The sequence below is a fragment of the Homo sapiens genome, chromosome 14 (genome assembly GCF_000001405.40).
Source record: "Homo sapiens chromosome 14, GRCh38.p14 Primary Assembly".
Classification (NCBI taxonomy): Eukaryota; Metazoa; Chordata; class Mammalia; order Primates; family Hominidae; genus Homo; species Homo sapiens.
The window spans coordinates 37,533,058-37,554,425 of NC_000014.9; the positions used below are offsets into that span (position 1 = coordinate 37,533,058).

At 34.2% G+C, this 21,368-nt stretch overlaps 1 protein-coding gene across 12 annotated transcripts in view, besides 1 other annotated feature; it reads left to right on the forward strand.

Annotated features, from left to right (window-relative positions):
- The window catches only part of MIPOL1 (mirror-image polydactyly 1), a 354,425-nt gene extending 335,121 nt beyond the window's left edge, over nucleotides 1-19,304 (forward strand). For 9 of the 12 annotated variants that reach the window (NM_001388068.1, NM_001388071.1, NM_001388074.1 and 6 more), the window contains one exon: nucleotides 13,848-18,202. In NM_001388068.1, coding sequence (NP_001374997.1) covers nucleotides 13,848-13,914 — 67 coding nt within the window. In that variant the 3' untranslated portion in view covers nucleotides 13,915-18,202. Of the gene's footprint in view, nucleotides 1-13,847 lie in introns of all 12 variants that reach the window. The other 3 variants (NM_001195296.2, NM_001195297.2, NM_138731.7) reach the window with 1 other exon arrangement.
- Nucleotides 13,787-14,081: a silencer, noted in NCBI's record as "tiled region #2445; HepG2 Repressive DNase matched - State 5:Enh". NCBI's record gives its function as "represses a minimal TATA promoter and a strong SV40 promoter by Sharpr-MPRA in HepG2 cells {active_cell/tissue: HepG2}" and the evidence as "EXISTENCE:reporter gene assay evidence [ECO:0000049][PMID:27701403]".

The following is a 21,368-nucleotide window of genomic DNA, read 5'->3' on the forward strand; positions in this document are numbered from 1 at the left end:
TTATACTAATTAAATAAAGTATAGTCTATGATGAGTATGCATCATAACAATTTCAGAGCCATCTGCCTTTTCATGGTTATATAACAACTAAATTTGATGTTTTAGAAAAATGAATCACTCTTATTTATGTAAAAAGATTAGGACTTTATACAATGTCTAAGCCCAATAACATGCAGTTTTAAACTGCCAGAAAGAAGCAGTGACCGTCTGAAAGTCCAGTAATACCATGAATGAAATTATACTTCAGATTTCTATTTATTATATCCTTATCTTGAAACCAAGGATTGATTCCCGATAAGAAAAAGCCTATGAGAACAGTATAATTGAGCAGTTTTCAAAACAATATTTAAGAAGGAAACAACTTATCACTCTTAATTTTTAACAAAAGACACTCTAAAAATAGTGAAACTGTGATGTTTTAGATGAGACAGTGATGTAACCAACAAACTCCATTTCTGGCTAAAAGAAATCAAGATACTCTATAAGCCTTCAGTTGTAACTTAAGCAAATGCTCATATGGGGAGTAGGAGTAAAACACAAACACCAGAATAAGGCAAAAAGAGGGACTTTCCCACTAATCTACATCCTTTTTAAAAAATACCACTGATGTATCCCATTACAATTCTTAGAAATCAAATAATTTTAAATGGGATCATTGAAATGGTTGGCATTGAATTTGTTTTTTCCTACATTCTGTCACATGCCTGCTTATTTTTGACTCCGATGCTTCTTCCATAGAAGATGCATAAGCAGTCCACATTCAAGGCAACTTCATTCCTTTGTAAGCTTCTTTTTTCTTCTGACAAATTATGAAATCAAAAGAAGAGCTGAGACCAGCCTGACCAACATGATGAAACTCCATCTCTACTAAAGTACAAAAAATTAGCTGGGTATGATGGCACGTCCCTTAATCTCAGCTACTTGGGAGGCTGAGGCAGGAGAGGTGCTTGAACCCAGGAGGTGGAGATTGCAGTGAGCCAAGATCATGCCACTGCACTCCATCCTGGCGAGACTCCATCTCAAAAAAAAAAAAAAAAAGGAAGAAAAAGAAGAAGAAGATGATGATGATCTGAAATTCTGGTTTTCCAGAAGCAGTGATTCATTGTTATCACATTAAATAAATTCCTCCTGATACAGAAAGGCTAACCTTTACTTAGTTATTACTTAGGGTGAAATTTTATCTAACATATTTCTCACCAAGTCTCCCAAACTCCTTCGATTTAAAGTGAGAGAAATCTGTTCTTTTTAGATAACTGCTCTATCATTTAATGTTCTTCTGCAAAGGTTATTGACAAAATATATACTACAAATCTTCACATTAATTAATTGACTTTCTTTTATTCTTGAAACCTACTTTTAGGAGGTCAGCAGCAAAATTTCAACCCATTACTTTAGAATAGAAAATGTGAATGTACTTCTTATTCCCAACATATGTGTGTGATATTTATTCATAAGCAATATTCTATTGATTTTTGAGAGCCTGTTGGGCTAGTTACCAAATATACAGTGGTAAACACATTGTCCCTACCCTTATGGAGCCTCATGGGCTTGTTATTGGAATTGAGTTTTCTTGGGAATGTTACATATGATTTAAATATCCCCTGAGAGACAAAGTGAAGGAGCCCAATAAAATTGTAACTTAATCTTAATTTATTCTATTATCTCAATCACTTTCTAATGTTGTTAGGGGATTAAGCAAAATAACTCCATTATCTTCTGTTACGTACTTTCCTAATAGTATCATCTAATACACTTAGTGCTGCCATGTTCCAACTGGAATCCAGGGGACAATCTAGATATCTAACTTACAAAGCCTTAATTAAGCCTTGGGTAAAATTATACCAAAGGTAGTATTTTAATCTAGATATCTAACTTACAAAGTCTTAATTAAGCCTTGAGTAAAATTATACCAAAGGTAGTATTTTAAAATCCAAAACTTGAAATAAAATTACTTTAGTGATACTATAAAGAAGGAAATATTGCTTTAATTATTCTCTATGTTCTCATTTTTAAAAGAGGTGAAATAAAAGTAAATAAAACAAAGTTTCACATATTTTAATTTTTATATCCAACGTTTATGTTTATTATTCACCTTAGTAGGTATTAATTGATATGATTGATTGGTGAGCTTCATTTTTCAAGGTTACCTAAAAGATAGTAGTTAGTCAATGTTTAAAATATAGGTAATTTTTTGGCGCCTTGTCTACTTTTGATATTAATGACATTGAAAAAGGAATGTCGTATATCTAATCTAAGGACAGTTGAATATACACATATCAAGTTTTTTCTGTGTTCTATTTAATCTCAACAATAAATCCAAGTTTCTTGCTGAATTTCAAGGTGTGAAGTAACTTCTTAATGTTAATGTAAATCTAAAAGACAAGCTTAATGCAGCATGGTAAATAAAATGACCCAGGAATTGTGAGATCTGAGTACAGCTTATTCTCACTTTCTCACTGTTTTCCTATGTAACACACTCTCCCGTTCACAGTATTTAAAACCTTTCAGCCACTTGAAAAAGGTATAACATGAAACTCCCTATATTATAACTTGCTATGGATGAAAACTCCTTTTATAATCCATCCCTACAGAGAATTTTGTAAAAAGACTTCATATGATATATATCTACAGTAGAAACACCTAAAAGGCTGTGTAGAACAAGTGTTTAGAAGGTGCTATTCACAAAATAATTACCTAAGAAATATGCATAAATGAATGAATGACAGTGCTTTGTATAATTACATATCTTAGGAGCTAAATTAATTTATCTACATTATTTCTTTGTATCCTTTATTCCAGTAATTCTTTATCTTTTTTCAATTTCTTTTTCCTTTCCTTTATTGTCCCTTTCTTTTCTTTTGGAGACAGGATCTTGCTCTGTTACCCAGGCTGGAGTGCAGTGAGTGGGACAGTCTCAGCTGACTGTAGACTCAATCTCTTGGGCTCAAGCAATCCTCCAACCTCGGCCTTCCTAGTATCTGGGACCACAGGCATGCACCACCATACCTGGCTGATAAGTTTTTACATAGCGAAATAGTTTGGGGGAAAGGGCTGAATTAGATTTGATTAATTTTGAAGTTATAGGAGAAATCAACAAACTAATTCATACCTGATTAGTAATGAGGCTTTAACGCTAAATATTGTTGGCTGTATCTCCAAAGTTTTTCTTGCTTTTCTCCCTTTTCTAAGATACGTGTATATCCAGCCAATCATACCAGTTGACAATAAGAGGGACGTGTAAGGGGCAATCTTATATGCAGACAGAGATGATAGTCACATCCCAGGAGTCGTTTAAGAGAAAAATGTGAATCCCAAAATACATCTATTTTGATATCTATCAATTGATACCTGAAATTTCTCCATCAGATATTCCCGTATTTGAGTTAAAGCTTTGTACTGTAATAAATTATAGATATGCCTTTTTGGGAATCACATAACATCATCATAAAGTTCAGGGCAAGTGCTAAGCATCATTAGGAGGAGAATATGAGGATACTTAGATTCTTGATGGGAAATGAGTGAAGTATCATTCGGGTACATTTCTGCTAAGCATTGAGTTTTTGTTTTGAGTTTTTTCTCGCTCTCTCTAGAATTCTCTATTACTATTGGAACTCCATTTTAATTATTATTACCAAATTATTTTAGACTTTGCTCTTTGAGAAATAAAGACAAACTTTCCACTTTCATAGTTCTGTCCCATGACTAGCCCAAACAATTGTTACTTTGACTATTTGATATCAGGTGTAAAAGAAAAAAATGTGGCCCAAAATCATTTTAAGAACCATAATAATTTTCTAAGCTTCATTTCCTGAGTATCCCCTTGTGTTTGGGATAGTGGGGGTTGGTAGTGGAAACAATGTGTACATAAGTATTGAATTGGGAGTCATCATTTTTAGGTCAAAAACTAGACTGATAATGCAATCAATGCTTTTGCTGAAAGTTGGCTTTTTTGCTGAAATGTATCTAAACAAAACCTAGGTATCTACTCTGCTTAAACTTACATAAAGCTCTAAATTTAGCAACATTTTAGTACTGATGAAAATTCTCAAATCTCATGACTATCACAAGATATTGGAGATACCTGAACACGGTGGATGAAGTAGGTAGTAAGAGGGCCTTTTAAAATGCATTCTTTGGTTTCTACTTAATCTCAAAGATCTTAATATGAAGATTAACAAAGAGAAGAATGCTTGATTCTAAGTATGATATCCATGTAAACTTTCAATGCCACCTTAGCTAGGCTAAGATTTTTAACACTATCCTTTGTCAAGGAAGACACTTATATGTATGATATAAGTCATAGTTGATAGTTACTTTGGCTTTCTACATCCCTGCTAGTGTCAATTTTTTTTGCATTTTCTGTAGTATAATGATAGCTGAAATCTGACTTTATTATTGTTGTAATGCCCAATTCTAGGTAAATAAATTATGCCCACAGCCGAATCAATCACAACCCATTATTAAATTTGAGTTTTCTATTAATAAGATTACAAATGTTTTAGTCTCAAAATTGTGTAAAACAAGATCAATTTTTAAGTTCCTATCCATTTAATAGTGAATGTGTTCAAAAAAATATGTATTTTTAATAAGGCAAAATGCATGATACCAAACACAGCATTGTTAGGTTGGTAGTATTTTGGAATTCACGATTTGGCTTTGATAAAAGTGACTTATGGACTCTTCAATATAGCTTTCCAGTGAATATATATTGAATGTTGAAAGACCACTCATTAAAATTAAATTTAAAAATAAAGTAAATGCTCTATGCTGTGAGCCATACAAGGCATAATATCAACTTCAACAAGAAATGGTCTGCAAACACACCATATTTGCCAAGTATCATAACAGTCTAGAAACTTCTGCTTCTGTGTCACAGATCATGAAATTAGGTTATTAGGCTTTTTTTGATATCTGTAAAAGCCCTAATTAAGCCCTTTAATACTCTAATTGAAATAGATATAAGTGCTTCTGGATGATACCCTGTAGCTGGTCCAGCTTCTTTAGTTGCAGACTGACCTAATAACTCAGTGATCTACTCACTAAGGACTTAGTATGCTCTGACAGCCAAACCAGTCCTAGTTGCCATATAATGAGCCTTGCAGGTCTAGCTACATTTCAGGAATTAACCTCTATAGCTAGTAGGTAAGGAAGAATAATGAACTTTAATATGTCTTGATTTCAGGAGTCATTTCACAAACTGTCTCATAATAACTTTCTGGAAAAGATCAAGAAATGATTGCACAGTTCTGAGAATTTATAGCTAATTGAAAAAGAATACATATTATACTCTGTAAAATTGCCTGTAAGAGCTTTTCTCTATACTTTATCTTTGGTTCTTTCCCAGTCAACATTTTTCTGAAGACCTAAGTTAAAAACATAAAGAGTAGACTTCTCAAAAGAACAAAAAAAAGTGATAGCAAATTCAGGATGCCAAAAGATATGAATTGCTGGGGAAAATGAGCTATATTTACTAAGATGAAATCTGACAGGGATAAATGTAAAAATCTTAAATTTAGGATCAATACTATAGTGGGATAAAAAATGGCCACAAATTTTTTTCAGCTGCTCGTGCTCCACCCTTTGAATCTGGGCTGGCTGCGATTCACTTTAACCAACAAAAGAAAGCAAGGGATGTTGTACAACTTCTGAACAAGGTCTCAGGAGGCCTCACTGATTCTGGCATTGCCCTCTTGCTGACTTGTGCTGACCACGTGAATAAATCCGGGCCAGCTTACTTGAGAGTGAGATCGCACATCAAGAGAGAGTCCTAGCCACAAGGCAGGACCAACTGTTAGCACATGCCACCCAGCCCCAGTGGACTACAGCTACTTGAGTGATTCCAGGCAAGGCTTATAGAACTGCCCAGCTGACGCGGTGGCTCACACCTGTAATCCCAGCACTTTGGGAGGCCGAGGCAGGCGGATCACGAGGTCAGGAGATCGAGACTGTCCTGGCTAACATGGTGAAACCCCGTCTCTACTAAAAATACAAAAAATTAGCCGGGTGTGGTGGTGGGCGCCTGTAGTCCCAGCTACTCGGGAGGCTGAGGCAGGAGAATGGCGTGAACCCAGGAGGCGGAGCTTGCAGTGAGCCGAGATCGTGCCACTGCACTCCAGCCTGGGTGACAGAGGGAGACTCCGTCTCAAAAAAAATAAAATAAAAAAAGAACTGCCCAGCTGAGCCAAGCCCAAATTGACATGATTAAATAAAATAGAGTTGTTTTAAGCTACTGACTTTTGGGTGATTTATTCTGATATGGAAATATTAATTGTAGATGTCAAAAAAAGAGAAGTTTGCCTTGGTTTTGCTGGCAAAGCAGGCCCAGGTATTAGTGGGTGAGCCTTTTGCCCCAACGCTCAGTCTAAGCCCATAGTGAAACATGGCAGCATTAAGATAGAAGTAAATTCCCAGATTGAGAGAGATATAAGTTCCATTTCCCTTTGTAATGAACCATACTGGATTGTTGTATAGGACTCTATGTTTTTAAAAACACTAGACATGCCGAGAGAGTAACCAATAATGGTGAGCAATTTATTAACCTATACAAAGCCCTTCGAGGACTGGAAGTGTTAGCCTCAAAAAAAGTAAAACACAGTAAAGATACAACAATTTTCTTAACATTTTGACAACACCTCATAAAGGAAATCAAGTAGGGTAATGATTTAAAGGGTAGGTGTATGCAGATAGGTAGAAGAGCCAATGAGGCTCTCTATGAAAATAAGGAATAATTCTCTGACTATATAGTTATTATTCAGCTCCCCATTTGATGTGATTTGGCTGTGTCCCCACCCAAATCTCATATTGAATTGTAGTTCCCATAATCCCCATGTCTCATCGGAGGGACCAGATGGAGATAATTGAACCATGGGAGCAGTTTCCCCCTTCCTGTTCTCATGAGATCAGATGGTTTTAGAGGGGGCTTTTCCCCCTTTTGCTTTACACTTCTCCTTGCTGCTGTCATGTGAAGAAGGACATATTTGCTTCCCCTTCCCTTATGATTGTAAGTTTCCTGAGGCCTCCCCAGCCAGGCTGAACTGTGAATCATTTCAACCTTCTTCCTTTATAAATTACCCAGTCTTGGGCAGCCCTTTATAGCAGTGTGAGAACAGACTAATACACCATTCTTACCACTTTCTAACAGTTCTTGTTTTCACTTTCTGTATGACTTTTCAACCCATTTTCCCATCTACTTCTACCTTCACCTTTTCACTTATGAATTCATTCTTCAGTCTTTTTCAGATACGAAGTCTTCTTACCTTTCTCTTATCAATTTCATTTTTTTATATTCCCTGATGTCTTACATGTACTTTTGTGAGCATATTTGTGTGTGTTCATATTTATATCGTAGTGTCTGTATATATTCATAAATATGTCTGCATATGTACATTTTTATATCTATCTGTGTGCATTATAGACTGTATATGTATCTTTCGGTTGTGGCTAAAACTGAGCAAGAAGTTTATTTCATTAGTTACAGCTTCTGCATGGAGGAATGGGTAAGCCGATCAATTGCCTGTCCTCTTCCTTACATTTCTGTGCTTCCTCCCCTCCCCATCTTTCCCTCCTTCTGCTTTTGTCCTTACACCTCAGCTCCTTTTAATCGGTCTTCATGAACCTTCTTTCCATTGTTTCTACTTGTGTCTATCCACAACTTCTGCACTGAATGTGTCACACTCACATTTTACCTGAAACTTGAATTTACCAAGAACACTTTTTTACCAGTAGCCCACTAGACACCAGCCTTTCTCCCTTACCCCATGTAATAGGAAGGAAAGCTCTGGTTCCCTTTTAGTACTTTCATACCTTCTGCATCCATGTAAAACTGCTTCTTTGAGGTTTACATAATCCATCTCTATCATTCTCTATCCCTCTTGTTCAGTAATTGCTTCTGATCTCCTGATCAATGCCATTTATTTAATATGAGTTTCAGGCATCTCATTCAGTGTCTTCCCCTCTACTCCAGCTTCTGCATTCATGCTGACAAACTTCAATATCTATGTCAATAACCTGCATTATTCATTTGCCTCCTGAATGTTAATGACCTTTACCTTTTCACTTCAGCTACTCACTCTGGATCTTCTTGTCACTCAGAACTTTTCTACATCTGAAATCCTAAGGTCAAAATTGCTTCTCTGACAGAGATCACAGTCTTATTCCAGCTCTTCTTGCTTTTTAGCCTCAACACAAATCAAAATATCCAGTCCCTTGCTCCTTCCATTCTCCCCGTAGAGTAACAGCCCTTTGTTGACTTGCTTTCTTCTCCCCTCAGTCTGGAGTCTGGGTTTAATCACTTTCTCCCTAAGACAGTTTCCTTATGTCCTCGTCTTTTTCACCCTACTGCCCTGTAAGTCATAAACTCTGAGTTACTTCTATAACTTGCTTTCCGCAAACCTACCCCCAAAGTATAGAGCTGATGGGGGAAAAAATTATACCACAATGATGGTTTATGTCTTCTACAAGACTGCAGTGTCTAGCTTTAGCTAGATCATCAATACCACCTAAAAATCCTTTTTCAAATCCCTGGTCACCTCCCTTTCTTGTCCTATTAAACCCTCACTATTCTTTTTCAGCCTTTTTCCTCACTCTATGCTTTCAGCAGAGATCTTACCTTTCTATTCCATGAGGAAAATTGAATCTAGCACGTATGAGATCAGTCATTTCCTTCCTCCACACCTACAGAATTATCCACAGATATATTCTTTCTACCTCCGTTCTTTTAGTCTGCAAGAAAAGTTAACCAGTCGTAGTTTCAAGGATAATCCTACAAGTTATGCTTATGATCCATTCCTCAGAAGCCCATTTTAAAAAGCATTTCCTTCCTCCCTTATACCTTAGCATGTTTCTGTTTCTTTAGACTCCTTTCCCATAGTCTATCAACACATTCACATGTTTTCCATTTCTTACAAGACTTCTTCAGCCATACGTCCCCTTGTAACTACAGTTCTCTTTACATCCTAACCAAGCTCTTATAAAGCAGCCTATACTTAGTTTTCACTTTTTCACATTCCATTCATGCTTTTTCTCACTTTTATCATACCATTACAATTGCACTCAAAAAAGGTTATCACTTCCTGCCAAATCAAATGGACATTTCACTTTAATCTTGTTTAAGCACCTACTTAACTCTGATGATCACTCACTTCTTGGAGTTCTCATCTCTGGATTCTGTGACTGTCCTACTCTTGGTTCATCTTTTACTTCTTTGACCATTCTTTCTCAATTTATTTTTAGAATTTCTTTTCTTTATATATTTGTTGTCATTTTGGTTCTATCCTCTTCCTCCCTCTCTTCTCCTTTTTTATTTCTTCTCTCTCTAAACATTTCCATCCCCTCCTCTGGCTTCAGTTGCAACCGAAAGTAAAATGTAGTATGGCCTACCTGTCTAGCCCCATTTCTTGCCATCTTTAACCTCTTATTTTGTTGTTCTGAGCAACTATACTACTGGCAGTACTTGAAACACATCAAACTTTTTATACCTGTGTGTTATTTCCTCTGCCTGGAATGCACAACCATGCCCTGTCTCCATTCCCACCTTTCTTGAGGTAACTCTTTCCTTCTCATCCTTCAACACTTAGGCATCATCAGGAAGCCTTTACAGACCTTTCCTCTCCTTCCATACCCAAGGTAGGTTCTGTTAATACCTGTGTTTATGTTATAACATTTATCAATAACTTACTGGAGTTATCCATATAAAGATCTGCTTTCCCACCTTACTGCTTCTTATGAGTAAGGACTATGTCCTGTTCTTTGAATAATCAAAGCCCAGCACAATGCCTGGCACATAGGAATTGCCCAACAAATACTTGTTGATTGAACTGAAATAGACCTAATATTCTCTCTTTAACACAGACTCTTATATACAAGTGTCTGCTTAACATCCCCACTTTTACGTCCTACTGATACCACGAATGTATAAGACTTAACTTACACACATATTCCCCCCACACACATACTCCCCAGCGAAAATCTACTGTTCTTCCTCTCCATTATCTTGATTAGGGCATCACTATCTACATAGCCACCAAAACCAGAATCCTGGGAGTCAGCCATCTTGCCCAATCCACCTCACCTCATTCTATCCTCAGAGGTCATGAAGTGCTTTGGATCCCATATCCTAAATATCTTTCAAATGCATCTCCTTCTTTCCATCTACATTGGTACAGCTCTAATTCAGGCCTTCAGCTCTCACTGGGATTATTTTTTATTTTTATTTTTAGTTATTTTATTATTTTTTTTTAGACAGAGTCTTGGTCTGTTGCCCAGGCAGGAGAGCAATGGTGTGATCTCAGTTCACTGAAACCTCGGCCTCCCAGGTTCAAGCAGTTCTTGTGTCTCAGCCTCCCGAATAGCTGGGATTACAGGCATGTGCCACCACACCTGGCTAATTTTTTTTATTTTTAGTAGAAACAGGGTCTCACCATGTTGGCCAGGCTGGTCTTGAACTCCTGGCCTCAAGTGATCTGCCCGTCTCGGCCTCCCAAAGTGATGGGACTACAGGCGTGAGCCACCTTGTCTGGCCTGACATATTTTTTAATTGGGGTAAAATGTCATAACATAAATTTATCATCTTAACCATTTTTAAGTGTATAGTTTAATGGCAGTAAGTACATTCACACCATTGTGCTCATTAGGATATTTTTTAAATAAAAGGCTATGTGGTCTTCTGACCTACAGGTCAACCTGCCTTCATCCCATCTCTGCATTCTTGGCAATATGAACTTTCTAAAATGCAAATGATGTTACTAGATGAGTTAAAACCCTTTCATTGTGTTCCCCTGTCTACATCAGTTGTTTCATCACAAAGTTTTCACAGGTTCAAATTGAAGTAAATAAAAAAATACAATATACCAAGTTTTTCTTAAATATTTTAGCTGAAAGGTTGAGTGAGTGAATGGATGGCAACATTAATCAAGATAAGAAATACTGAAACATGCATAAGAAGTAAAATAGTTTTGTTTTAAATATACTGAGTATCATAGGCCAATTGTATAAGCAAGAGGAGATTTCTTGAAGGCAGTTGGATAAGTGAGTCTAAAACTCAGAAGAGAATTTTGAGAAAGGGGTCTAGATTTGGAAGTCATGAGCGTTTAAGTGTCATCAAGGGAGCAAAATGAAAAGAAAAGATGATAAAATACATCAACATTAAAAATACCAACAAAACAACAACCATAGTGATAAAAGAAACAAAAATCATATTTAAAGTCTTCTCATCCTTCTGACTGAGAGAGGGCAAGATCTTTAATACTAATGGCAAACCCTAGGTGCAGCATTTTTAGTGACTTTGTCTCCTCCTCCTCACAACCTTGTATAAGGGTTTACTTGTCTGTTCTTCAGTTTCTTCATATTTAAAATGGAGAAATCCTAATCCTAGCTCTAGCCCTTTTCCTGTTTCATGAAGCTGTTGAGAAGATATCACTGAGTAATATTTAAAGCAGCTGGAGCCTATTTTAGTGAGCTACATAATTTTTTAAGGACATTATTGATTTGGACAGTAAGAATAGCCTGCAGGCAAATCCTGCAAGGTGCTTCAACAGACACACACGTCTACCTTCCTGTTGGCACAGCCCATGTTTGGCAGGTGTATTCCATTCCTTACAGGAAGGAATAGGTGCTTCATTGTGTTACAGAAGTCAGTAAGCTTTCACAAAACTAAGTAATTGACATCTTTCTCATTTCTGAGATCAGGTTTTCATAAATCATTCGACCTGGATAAATTGAGATTGTAGTTGATGTGGTAATTGTTGAAATACAATGAGGACATTGCAAAACATGATATTTAACTATTTCCTCCTAATCTCTTACCTTAACAACATATAAGAGTTCTAAATGGAAAGATGTCCTAATGTAGAAAAAGGAAACAAAAGTAAGATGAGCCTGTCTGTAAAGGAGAAGCCAGAAGAAGCACAACACAGATTCATCTCAGTAATTTGGGATTCCACTGATTCTGAATTTGTAGTAACAATAATAATAACTAGACAACATAGAGCTGACTTTTATATTGTGAAAAAGGTTTTATCACTAGTTAGTAGTATAAATTATATTATGGAGAAGGGATACATTTAGCCAGTTTGCAAGTAATATTTTCTGGCTTTTAACAATATATGCAAAGCAATGCTACTAATATCTTATAATGATTTCTGCTGGGAGCTATTTAATGGTTATTTCAAGTTACTATCAGATTTTAACAATAAACTTAAAATTTCATAGTGTAGTTCTATAATTCATACTCACATTTTTCTTTCCCCTCATTGCACAACTCAAGTTAATTAAACATTGCCTTAAAGGATTCATGTAGTGCTATGAGTCATAATATTCAGAGTGTGTAAGTTAGCACTAGTTTTTAACCACTAGGGAAGGTTCAAGTATTGCAGACTAATCTGAGAATACAGTGAATTTTCTAATGACTCTTCTAGTTCAGGTATTTGTACCACTAGACTGTTTTAGTGGATATACAACATTTATGTATAGTTTGCATTTTAGAAAAGTTTGTAGTAATAAACTTAGACAAGATTTGCCTTTTTACTCTAAGATCATTACTGTGTTCTTAAAGCAAAGTTTTTTGATGCACTGAATAATTTTGTTTTATTTTCCTGTTTTTTGTTAACAGAATTCTTGATAGATACAAAATCATCCAATAAACTTCAGCTAGTTTTCAGCATTATATGCAGTTGATTTGTCCATTCCTCAGTGGAACTTCCAAATCATCTAAACCAGCTTTGTATGACACTAAGAATACCCTCATTCCTTCAGTGTCTAGCTCTGTGCTGTGTTTATTTGCAGAGGACCCTCATGCATGGATCCATATAAATGAGGCAAACTGTGAAGCAGACTAGACTGTGCCGCTTACCGTAAAGTCTTTGAGAGAGGAAGATTGTGTATATGAAAACTGCTAGGCATGATATTTACTTATAAGGAAGATTTCTATGTGTATAACATCAAGCAAGATTTTTGGTTGAGGTTTTATGCTTTCAGTAAAGAAAATAAAAGAAGAAAACCAATTAATGGTCTGATTCTATCATCTTTTGTCAAGCATCTCTTACTGATCTACATGAATGTGACCTCCCGCTCATAGAGTAGTCTAAGAACACTGCAGAATGGACTTGTGAACTTTCGACTCTCTTTTCAATTTAATTGACTAGTTTTTAGTCAACTAAAAAAATCATTTTCTTTGACTAAAATGTCTATGTAGGTAATTTCTAGTGCATCTATGCTACTCAGAAATAGAAACGTGTTTTTTTAATTAGAACAAAAAGTCTGGTTTTATTAGTATCAAATCATTGTGTATTTTTAAATTATTTCCATGCTACTGTAACTTGAAATGTTTCCCACCTAACCACTATTTCTGGCTTTATGTTTATCAGCTGATTCTATGAAAAGATGGGAATTTAGTACATAGAAGTTACACAGTATACCAACCAATGAATCACTTATCTAAGTAACAGGTGAAACATTGCTGATATTTGTGTTTTGAAATATGTGCTTTTCTTAGGTAAAATCAGTTTATTCTACATTTAATATGTGATCCTGTCATTGCATAGTAAATGATTCATTCACAACCTTAATGCAAGTAGCTAAATGTATTGAAATAAGTGTCCTATAAATTTTGTGTGGCATCTAATGCTGACATAATTCAAGGATCTGGGTTAAAGTTTGTGTCGTTGCTGGGTTTTTTAACCTCAAATACTTGGCACTCTGTAGCAGTGTCTCTCACAGTAATGCTTTGTTTCTTAACATGACCGTGAGGACTGCTTGGTCACAGGCAAATACTGTCCTTTATCAGCCAGGACATTCTTAACAATAATTGCCCTTTTTTTCCCCTTCTCACCCCCATCCCAACCCCAACTTAGGTTGGAAAGGCTGGTGGATGTACTGAGGAAGAAGGTTGGAACCGGGACCATGAGGACAGTGATCTGATTGAAAAAAAACGACAGTCTGGGGAAGCGATCACATCTGGTGACCAGGCTGCTTCATTCAACACTGTGTAAACACCAAAGCCTTAACTTAGCAAACAGTTGTTAGAAGTGGGACACTCCAACCACATTCCAAGCTGAGATAAAATCAAATCACAAATGTTTAACCACTTTGCTGCTGACTTGAGTTATTTATCCAAATATATTAACTATAGACTTTTACCAATGGGTAGCTATAAGGTTACAGCTTATTTTGTAACTATTTTATATCTCAATATCTTTAATATAAATCTTTTTACTGAGAGATCATTATAGAAACATGTTAAAGTTGGTTAGGATCATATCTTCACATATGGCCCTTTCTGAATCAAAGTGCGGCAAAGTAAATATTGTCTAAGCTTTAATCCACTGTGTTAGGTCAAAACTTCAAATACATGCATTTTTCAATATAGGGTATATTTCTTAACTGATGAGAGAGGCTTAGACATGAGTGTGTAGTCTTCCTTCAATGCGTGTATGTAATCTTTGTTAGTATAAAAGATATTAAATATAGGTGCCAAGAATTAAATGTATAATTTGTTTAATAAGAGATGGATATATTAAAATTACATTCATCAAGGCATGATTTTTGTTTCACTACAAATAATGCAAACTGTTTTCAATAAAAAGAGGAGACTGTTAATGTGTACTTATAAATTCACATTGTCAGTATTTTTTAATATTGGGTCTGAATAATTATCTGAATTCTACTTAAGCTATAAGTCTCTGTCATTTTTGCTTGAAAATTAGCATGCCTCTGTCTTAAAAGAGACCATCAAACCTATTAAGTATTCTTATTGTTTATCTTTTTTTAATTGCCATTTGATTTTTATTGTGGAGGAGGAGGATCTAATATATAATATTCAATACAATTGTAATGTAGAAATATAAGAATTTAGAAAAAAGTAAACTTGCCATTTGGTTAAGGTTACCTGCTTTTTATTTTATTCCAGAAATAAGATAGTTACAGCATAGCAGTCATATGAAGTTATGAATAGAACTGAGATTTTTATGTAATTAGTTATAGGCAAAATACTTTCATATTTTTAGATTAGACAGACGAAAGACCAAGAGGAAATGACTGTGCCTGGAACAGGATGAAATAGACAAGTAGAGATTTAATTAGCAAAAATTTTGTAGGGAAGTAAAATTTTTTCTAAGTCTATACGTTTTTAATTCATCTTTAAGATTGAGCTAAATTATCTACCATTGCCTATTTACAGGATAAGTACATTCAGGACAATTTATTGTACCATTCTTTCATATACCATAGCAGATTATCCATTTCAATTTTTTTTTACTCCACAGGAAAATGTAAGCTACTTTGTCATAGATCACAAAAGAATCATAATGCTAACAAACTCTATTTCTTCCTTATTAAATCTGTATCCATTAAAGTAACTTTTTTAACTATGAGAATTAGAAAATAAGGGACAACAGGGGTTAAAAATAAACTGATTTAATTTGCTCTATAGTCCTAAAGAGAATTATATCCTCTCATAGACCAATGACTCTATAATAGAGAAATATGTAATGATTTGGTCATGCATGGAGTCTTGTCTCTGGGCTCTATTTGAAACGTGTAACAGCTCCCTATGTGAAGAAACATTATCTTTAAAGTCATCTGGGAGGTGCAGGTAAGTAAAGAGAAACAATTTTTGTCACAAAGTAGTCCATTCCTGATCTCACTTAAAATAAATCACAAGTAAATTTGAATTTTCGGTTTAATGTTGAAAGCAGATGAACTTTTCTTGAGTTATTTTGTCTTTTAGAATACACAAAATATAGTATAAAGACATTTCACAATTTCCAAACAAATCTTTCTACGCTTAAATGATCAAATTAGAAAAACCAATTCCTATAATTAATATGCAGAACTTTTATAGAATATGATATTATAAAGTTAAATTTGCAAAATAATTCTAACATCCACTATTGTTCAGTATAGGTAATCTCCCAAAAATATCACATCCTCTTGAAAATGAATTGTCTACAAAATTTCAAATGCAAAGTATTACAGCCAAATATTATCTTAATTAATTTCTTACACTTAAAAGTGTCCATCAACAGTGTGTCAGATGGTCTTTATATATTTTTTCTGTATGAAGGAATAGCCTTGCCTACTGAAGATAGGTTCTCTATGTATTCAACAATAATGCAACTTTAGAAGTATTCCACACTGCTGAGAAATGTTGCTTTGAGTTTGCTTTACACATCATCAACTCTAAATCCTATAGTAACATGAGAATTCACTTCTTCTTGTAAAAATAAGTAATTTACAGGAAAGGCAAAATGCTAATACTAACATTTGTAGCACTTGATGATTTACAAAGTCCTTTTACATCTGTTTTTTCATTTGATCCTATCGACAATCATAATAATAATAAATTATATATATAACCCATATAATAACGATGGTGATGATAATTTTAGTATTACTGTCATTATAATTATTATTATATTCATTCTACAGATGAGGAAACAGACTCAGTAAGCCTTGGAATTTGCCAAGGACTGGCTAGGACCTAGAACTAAGATCTTATAACCACACTCCATGCAACTATGAGTCTCTAAATCTCTCTGTAAGAAAAAAATTTCAAAGTAAAGATTTTACTCTTGCAATTTCTGTTGTGATAGTACCATCTCTTTCACATACTACATACAAATTCCCTAATAATCAAAAGATTGTACACATTTTTTTCAATGAAGTACAATAATGTGAACTGCATGTGTAAACAGCATCACATTATTACCACCTCTCTATGGTATTATAGTGGCAGTATGCTTTGCCTCAGCCTTCACTAATTAGGAATATTGTGACAATTCATTGCTAATAAAACATAACATGAGTCTCTTTGTACTGTTTTTAATTTGGCCTGATGCTAAAACCTATCAGCTTAGTTTTTTAACATGGTAGTCTAAACTTCAAGGCTTGCTCTATCTCCTAGAGCAATTTAGAGCTAAAACCAGTAATAAGCAAAGTTATTGGTTATAAGCAAGGTATAAGCAGTTAAAGCAAAGTTATTAATTATTAATATATGAGAATTTAAAATTTTATAAATAAGTTAGAAATTATTAATGTATTTTAAATATGGAGTAAAATATTTTGCTAATTTTTTTCAATGATAAAGTTGATCCTTTGTATATTTCCTTATTCAAATAAATTCAGTCATCTTCTTATCAGGTTGCTTATTTATATAATTTGTTTATTTTATTAAAAATCTAGAATATTAAAGATTTATACTTTTAATATTGAATATAGTTTCGTAGAAAAACATTTTATATGTACTATTCTTAAAGATCACAATTATTTTTAAACTTTCTATTTTCAAATACTTGTGATTAATAAGGCATTCTATGATGAAATAGCCATGGCTTATATATTTTTGTCTTTTCACATATGATGTGTTTGGAACCCAAATTTTTTACTGATTTTATTGTGTTGTTGGTAACTAGTATTTACAGCTAACCTATCTATTCATATTTTACATATATATATATATATATACATGCACACACACCGATACATTTACCTTTTAAAAAAATGATTTATAAGTGAACTGTTAGGCTCCAGTGATTTCAGTGTTTTGTTCATGTTTTATTGGAAATGCACGTGGTTTCTTAGGCTTTTAAACAAATACATGGAATGGTTGAAAGATTTATTTTGCTCGTGCTTAGCTAAATATGTCATCTCTAGAAAAGATGTGGTTTGTTTTGGCACTGTTTTAAAAACTCAAATATTTTAAACATTTGTTAAGTTGGAGCTTGCACATTTAAACCAGCAGCATACGTTCCAGAAGAGCATCTCAAGTTACCAAATTTTTTGTAATCCTTTTACTAGAAAAATCTTTTTTGAAGAGTTTTTCTTGTGCTTGCTTCGGCAGCATATATACTGAAATTAGAAAAAGAAAACTTTTCTTTTTTATTATATATTTTAGTGTAAGTTAAGTTAAACTTCTAAAAGTTGAATTATTTAATGTAGGACTTCATAAATAGTATTTGACAATGATAAATGTGTATTTTTGAGAATCATTAAAATGTATACAATGATATTCCTTTGCAGAAGTCTTAATATGCATAATTTTTAATCTAATTGTCTTCTAAATATAGTTTTGGTGTATGCTGGTATTTTAGAAGCCACCAATTTCTGGACTATCTGATTATTAACAAAGATGTATTTTAATGCACAAACTCAAATGTTTAAAATATATATTTACTTTGTACTCAAATAAAATCCCCTATTGCAAATCCTATACATATTTCAATGCAATTCTTATACATCGATCTTAATCAAATTTATAAATGTACAATCCTGAAGACAGTGTACTAGATATGCACTATAAAATATATTGCAGTAAGGAAACAGATTAAGTTCACTGTCAAACTGTCTGACTTCCTTAACAAATTTAATAAAGATAAATGTCAATATGAACAAATTTGTTAGGTACCTTAGGAATCTTTCAAAACTATTTAGATATAAAATAAAATTATAGTAATAAAATATTGAAGAGAAATATCATTTTTAGTGAATATGGTTAGAAAGAACATAAGAAGTGAGATCAAATTATTTTAATTAAAAAAATAGGCCAGGTGCGATGGCTCACGCCTGTAATCCCAGCATTTTGGGAGGCCGAGGCGGGCGGATCACAAGGTCAGGAGATTGAGACCATCCTGGCTAACACGGTGAAACCCCGTCTCTACTAAAAAAAGTACAAAAAAGAAGTTAGCCGGGCGTGGTGGCGGGCGCCTGTAGTCCCAGCTACTTGGGAGGCTGAGGCAGGAGAATGGCGTGAACCCGGAAGGCAGAGCTTGCAGTGAGCCGAGATCACGCCATTGCACTCCAGCCTGGGTGACAGAGTGAGACTGTCTCAAATAATAATAATAATAATAATAATAATAATAATAATAATAATAGACTGACTCAAATCTACCATAAAGCACCTCTACTCATTTTGGAATATGTACGTGGAATTTTGCTTCAATAGCTGAAATCTAAAAACACTCTTTCTGTTGCATTTGATTATTCAATCATGATAAGGTAAATGTAAACAGACTGTGTAGCACTCTATCACCTGGAGTGAACTTAGAATTTACAGCTTAGAGTACATGACTAAAAGAGGAATGGAGTGGAAGTGGGCAGTAGGTGTCTTTGGGGCAAAAATTCTATAAACTGGTGTTATCTAAACTATCACATTACTTTGTTAAATTATTGTTTCATCACGTATGACCTTTGTGATTTGTCACACATTTTACTTCTACATATGCACATAATTGTAATTTTTTTAACTTTAAAAAGTCAATTATGTTTAAGAAAATTTTTAAAATAAGAATGAACGTATGTGATATTTACTGTGATATTTACTCGTGTATTTACGATTTCTGATGCCCTTATTTTCTTTACATACATCCGTGTATCCACCTGTTACCATTTTCCTTCTGCCCAAAGTATTTATCATCTATACCAGTGAAGAACTGTTGGTTCAACTGTTGTATGTCTGAAAATGTGACTCTTTTTCTGCCTCCATTCTGTGAAAAAAAAATTGCTGCATATAGAATTTGAGGTTAACATGGTTTTGTGGATTTTTTTCAGTATTTTAAAGATGTTGCTCTAATATTTCTGGTTTGCTTTGTTCCTGCTGTCATTCTTATTTTTATTTTCTGTACATTATGTGTCCTCTAGCTGCTTTAAAGATTTTCCCTTTGTCACTTGCTTTAACCAATTTGATTTTGATATGTAGTGTCGATTTCTGCATGTTTCTGTGCCTGTGGTTTGCTGAACTTCTTGGATCCATGAATTTGCAGTCTTTATCGAAAATTTCAGCCATTATTTCTTCCAATATTTTTCCCTATCTCTTTTCTTCTTTCTCTGGATCTACTATTCTCTGGATATTAGGCTACTTAAAGTTATCCTACAACTTGTTCATGCTTCGTTCTTTTTTTTAATTTTTAATTTTGTGTGTACATAGTAGGTGTATATATTTATGGGGCACATGAGATATTTTGATATAGGCATACAGTGCATAATAATCACATCAGGGTAAATGGGATATCCATCACCTCAAGCATTTATCCTTTTTGTTACAATTAATTATACTCTTTCAGTTATTTTTAAGTGTACAATAAATTATTGACTGTAGTCAGCTTGTTGTGCTATCAAATATTAGATCTTATTCGTTCTAACTATATTTTTATTATATTTCTTTTCAGTTTTTTTCTCTGTTTCATTTTGGATAGTTTCTATTGCTTTGTCTTCAAGTTTACTAATCTTTTCTTTTGCAGTGTCTAATGTGTTGTTAACCCATCCAGGCCCTCTTTCTTCACAGACATTGTATTTTTCATCTCTATAAGTTAGAATTGAGTTTTTAAAATTTTTTATGGCTCTCCTTAACTTGTTCATGCTTTACATTATCTTCAGGAACATAAAACATATACAGTGGTTTCACTTCCTTGGTTTTAGTTACCCACAACTAACCACAGTCCAAAAATAGGTAAGTATAGTATAATAAGATATTTTGAGAGACAGAAACCACATTCTCATGCCTTTTATCACAGTATATTGTTATAATTATTCTATTTTATTATTATTATTTATCTCTTACTATGCCTAATTTAGAAATTAAACATTATCATAGAAATGTACATATAGGAAAAAATATATGTAGGGTTCGGTACTATCCTTGGTTTCAGACATCTACTGAGGGTCTTGGAATGTGTCCCCCACAGATAAGAAGAGATTGCTGTAATAACTGTTTTAACGTTCATGTTTGTTAATTATGTCATCTGTGCAACTTCCTGGCCTGTTTCTATTGATTGATTTTTTTTTCTTACCATAGTTTATATTTTTCTGCTTTACATGCTGATAACTTTTTATTGAATGCCAGTTATTGTAAATTTTATCTTGTTGGGTGCTGAATATTTTTGTATTTCTTTAAAATGTTTTGAGTTTCTGAATATATTACCTTATATTCTTTGTAGTATATGATGACCATATGAAAATTTAGGTCCTTGTTCTCCCTTTTCTTTCCTGGTGATTTTTACCCTGGCCTTGCTAGTTTGCTCACATATGTGTGCTGATCAATACTCTGAGAAAGACTCAAGGAATGGTCTACAGCTCTCTAGAGCCAAACTCGCTCTCCTATGTATCCTCTCTCTCTTTTTCTCTGTGCAGCCCTCTCCTCTGCTTAGAATTTCTCCTCTCCAGTACCCTGAGTTGTAAATTCTGTCTGCCCTGGTGTCCCCAGATTCTCAACTCTGTGTCCTCAACTCAGGGAGACTTCCAAGCTCTGTTTGGTTGTCCCACTCCACTCTTTGTAAATTCTCCAGACCATAAGCTGGGGTAATCATAGGGCTCACTTCATTTGTTTGATTCACTGTCCTGGACTGCCTATTGTCCAAAGTCCAAAAACATTGTTTCATGTA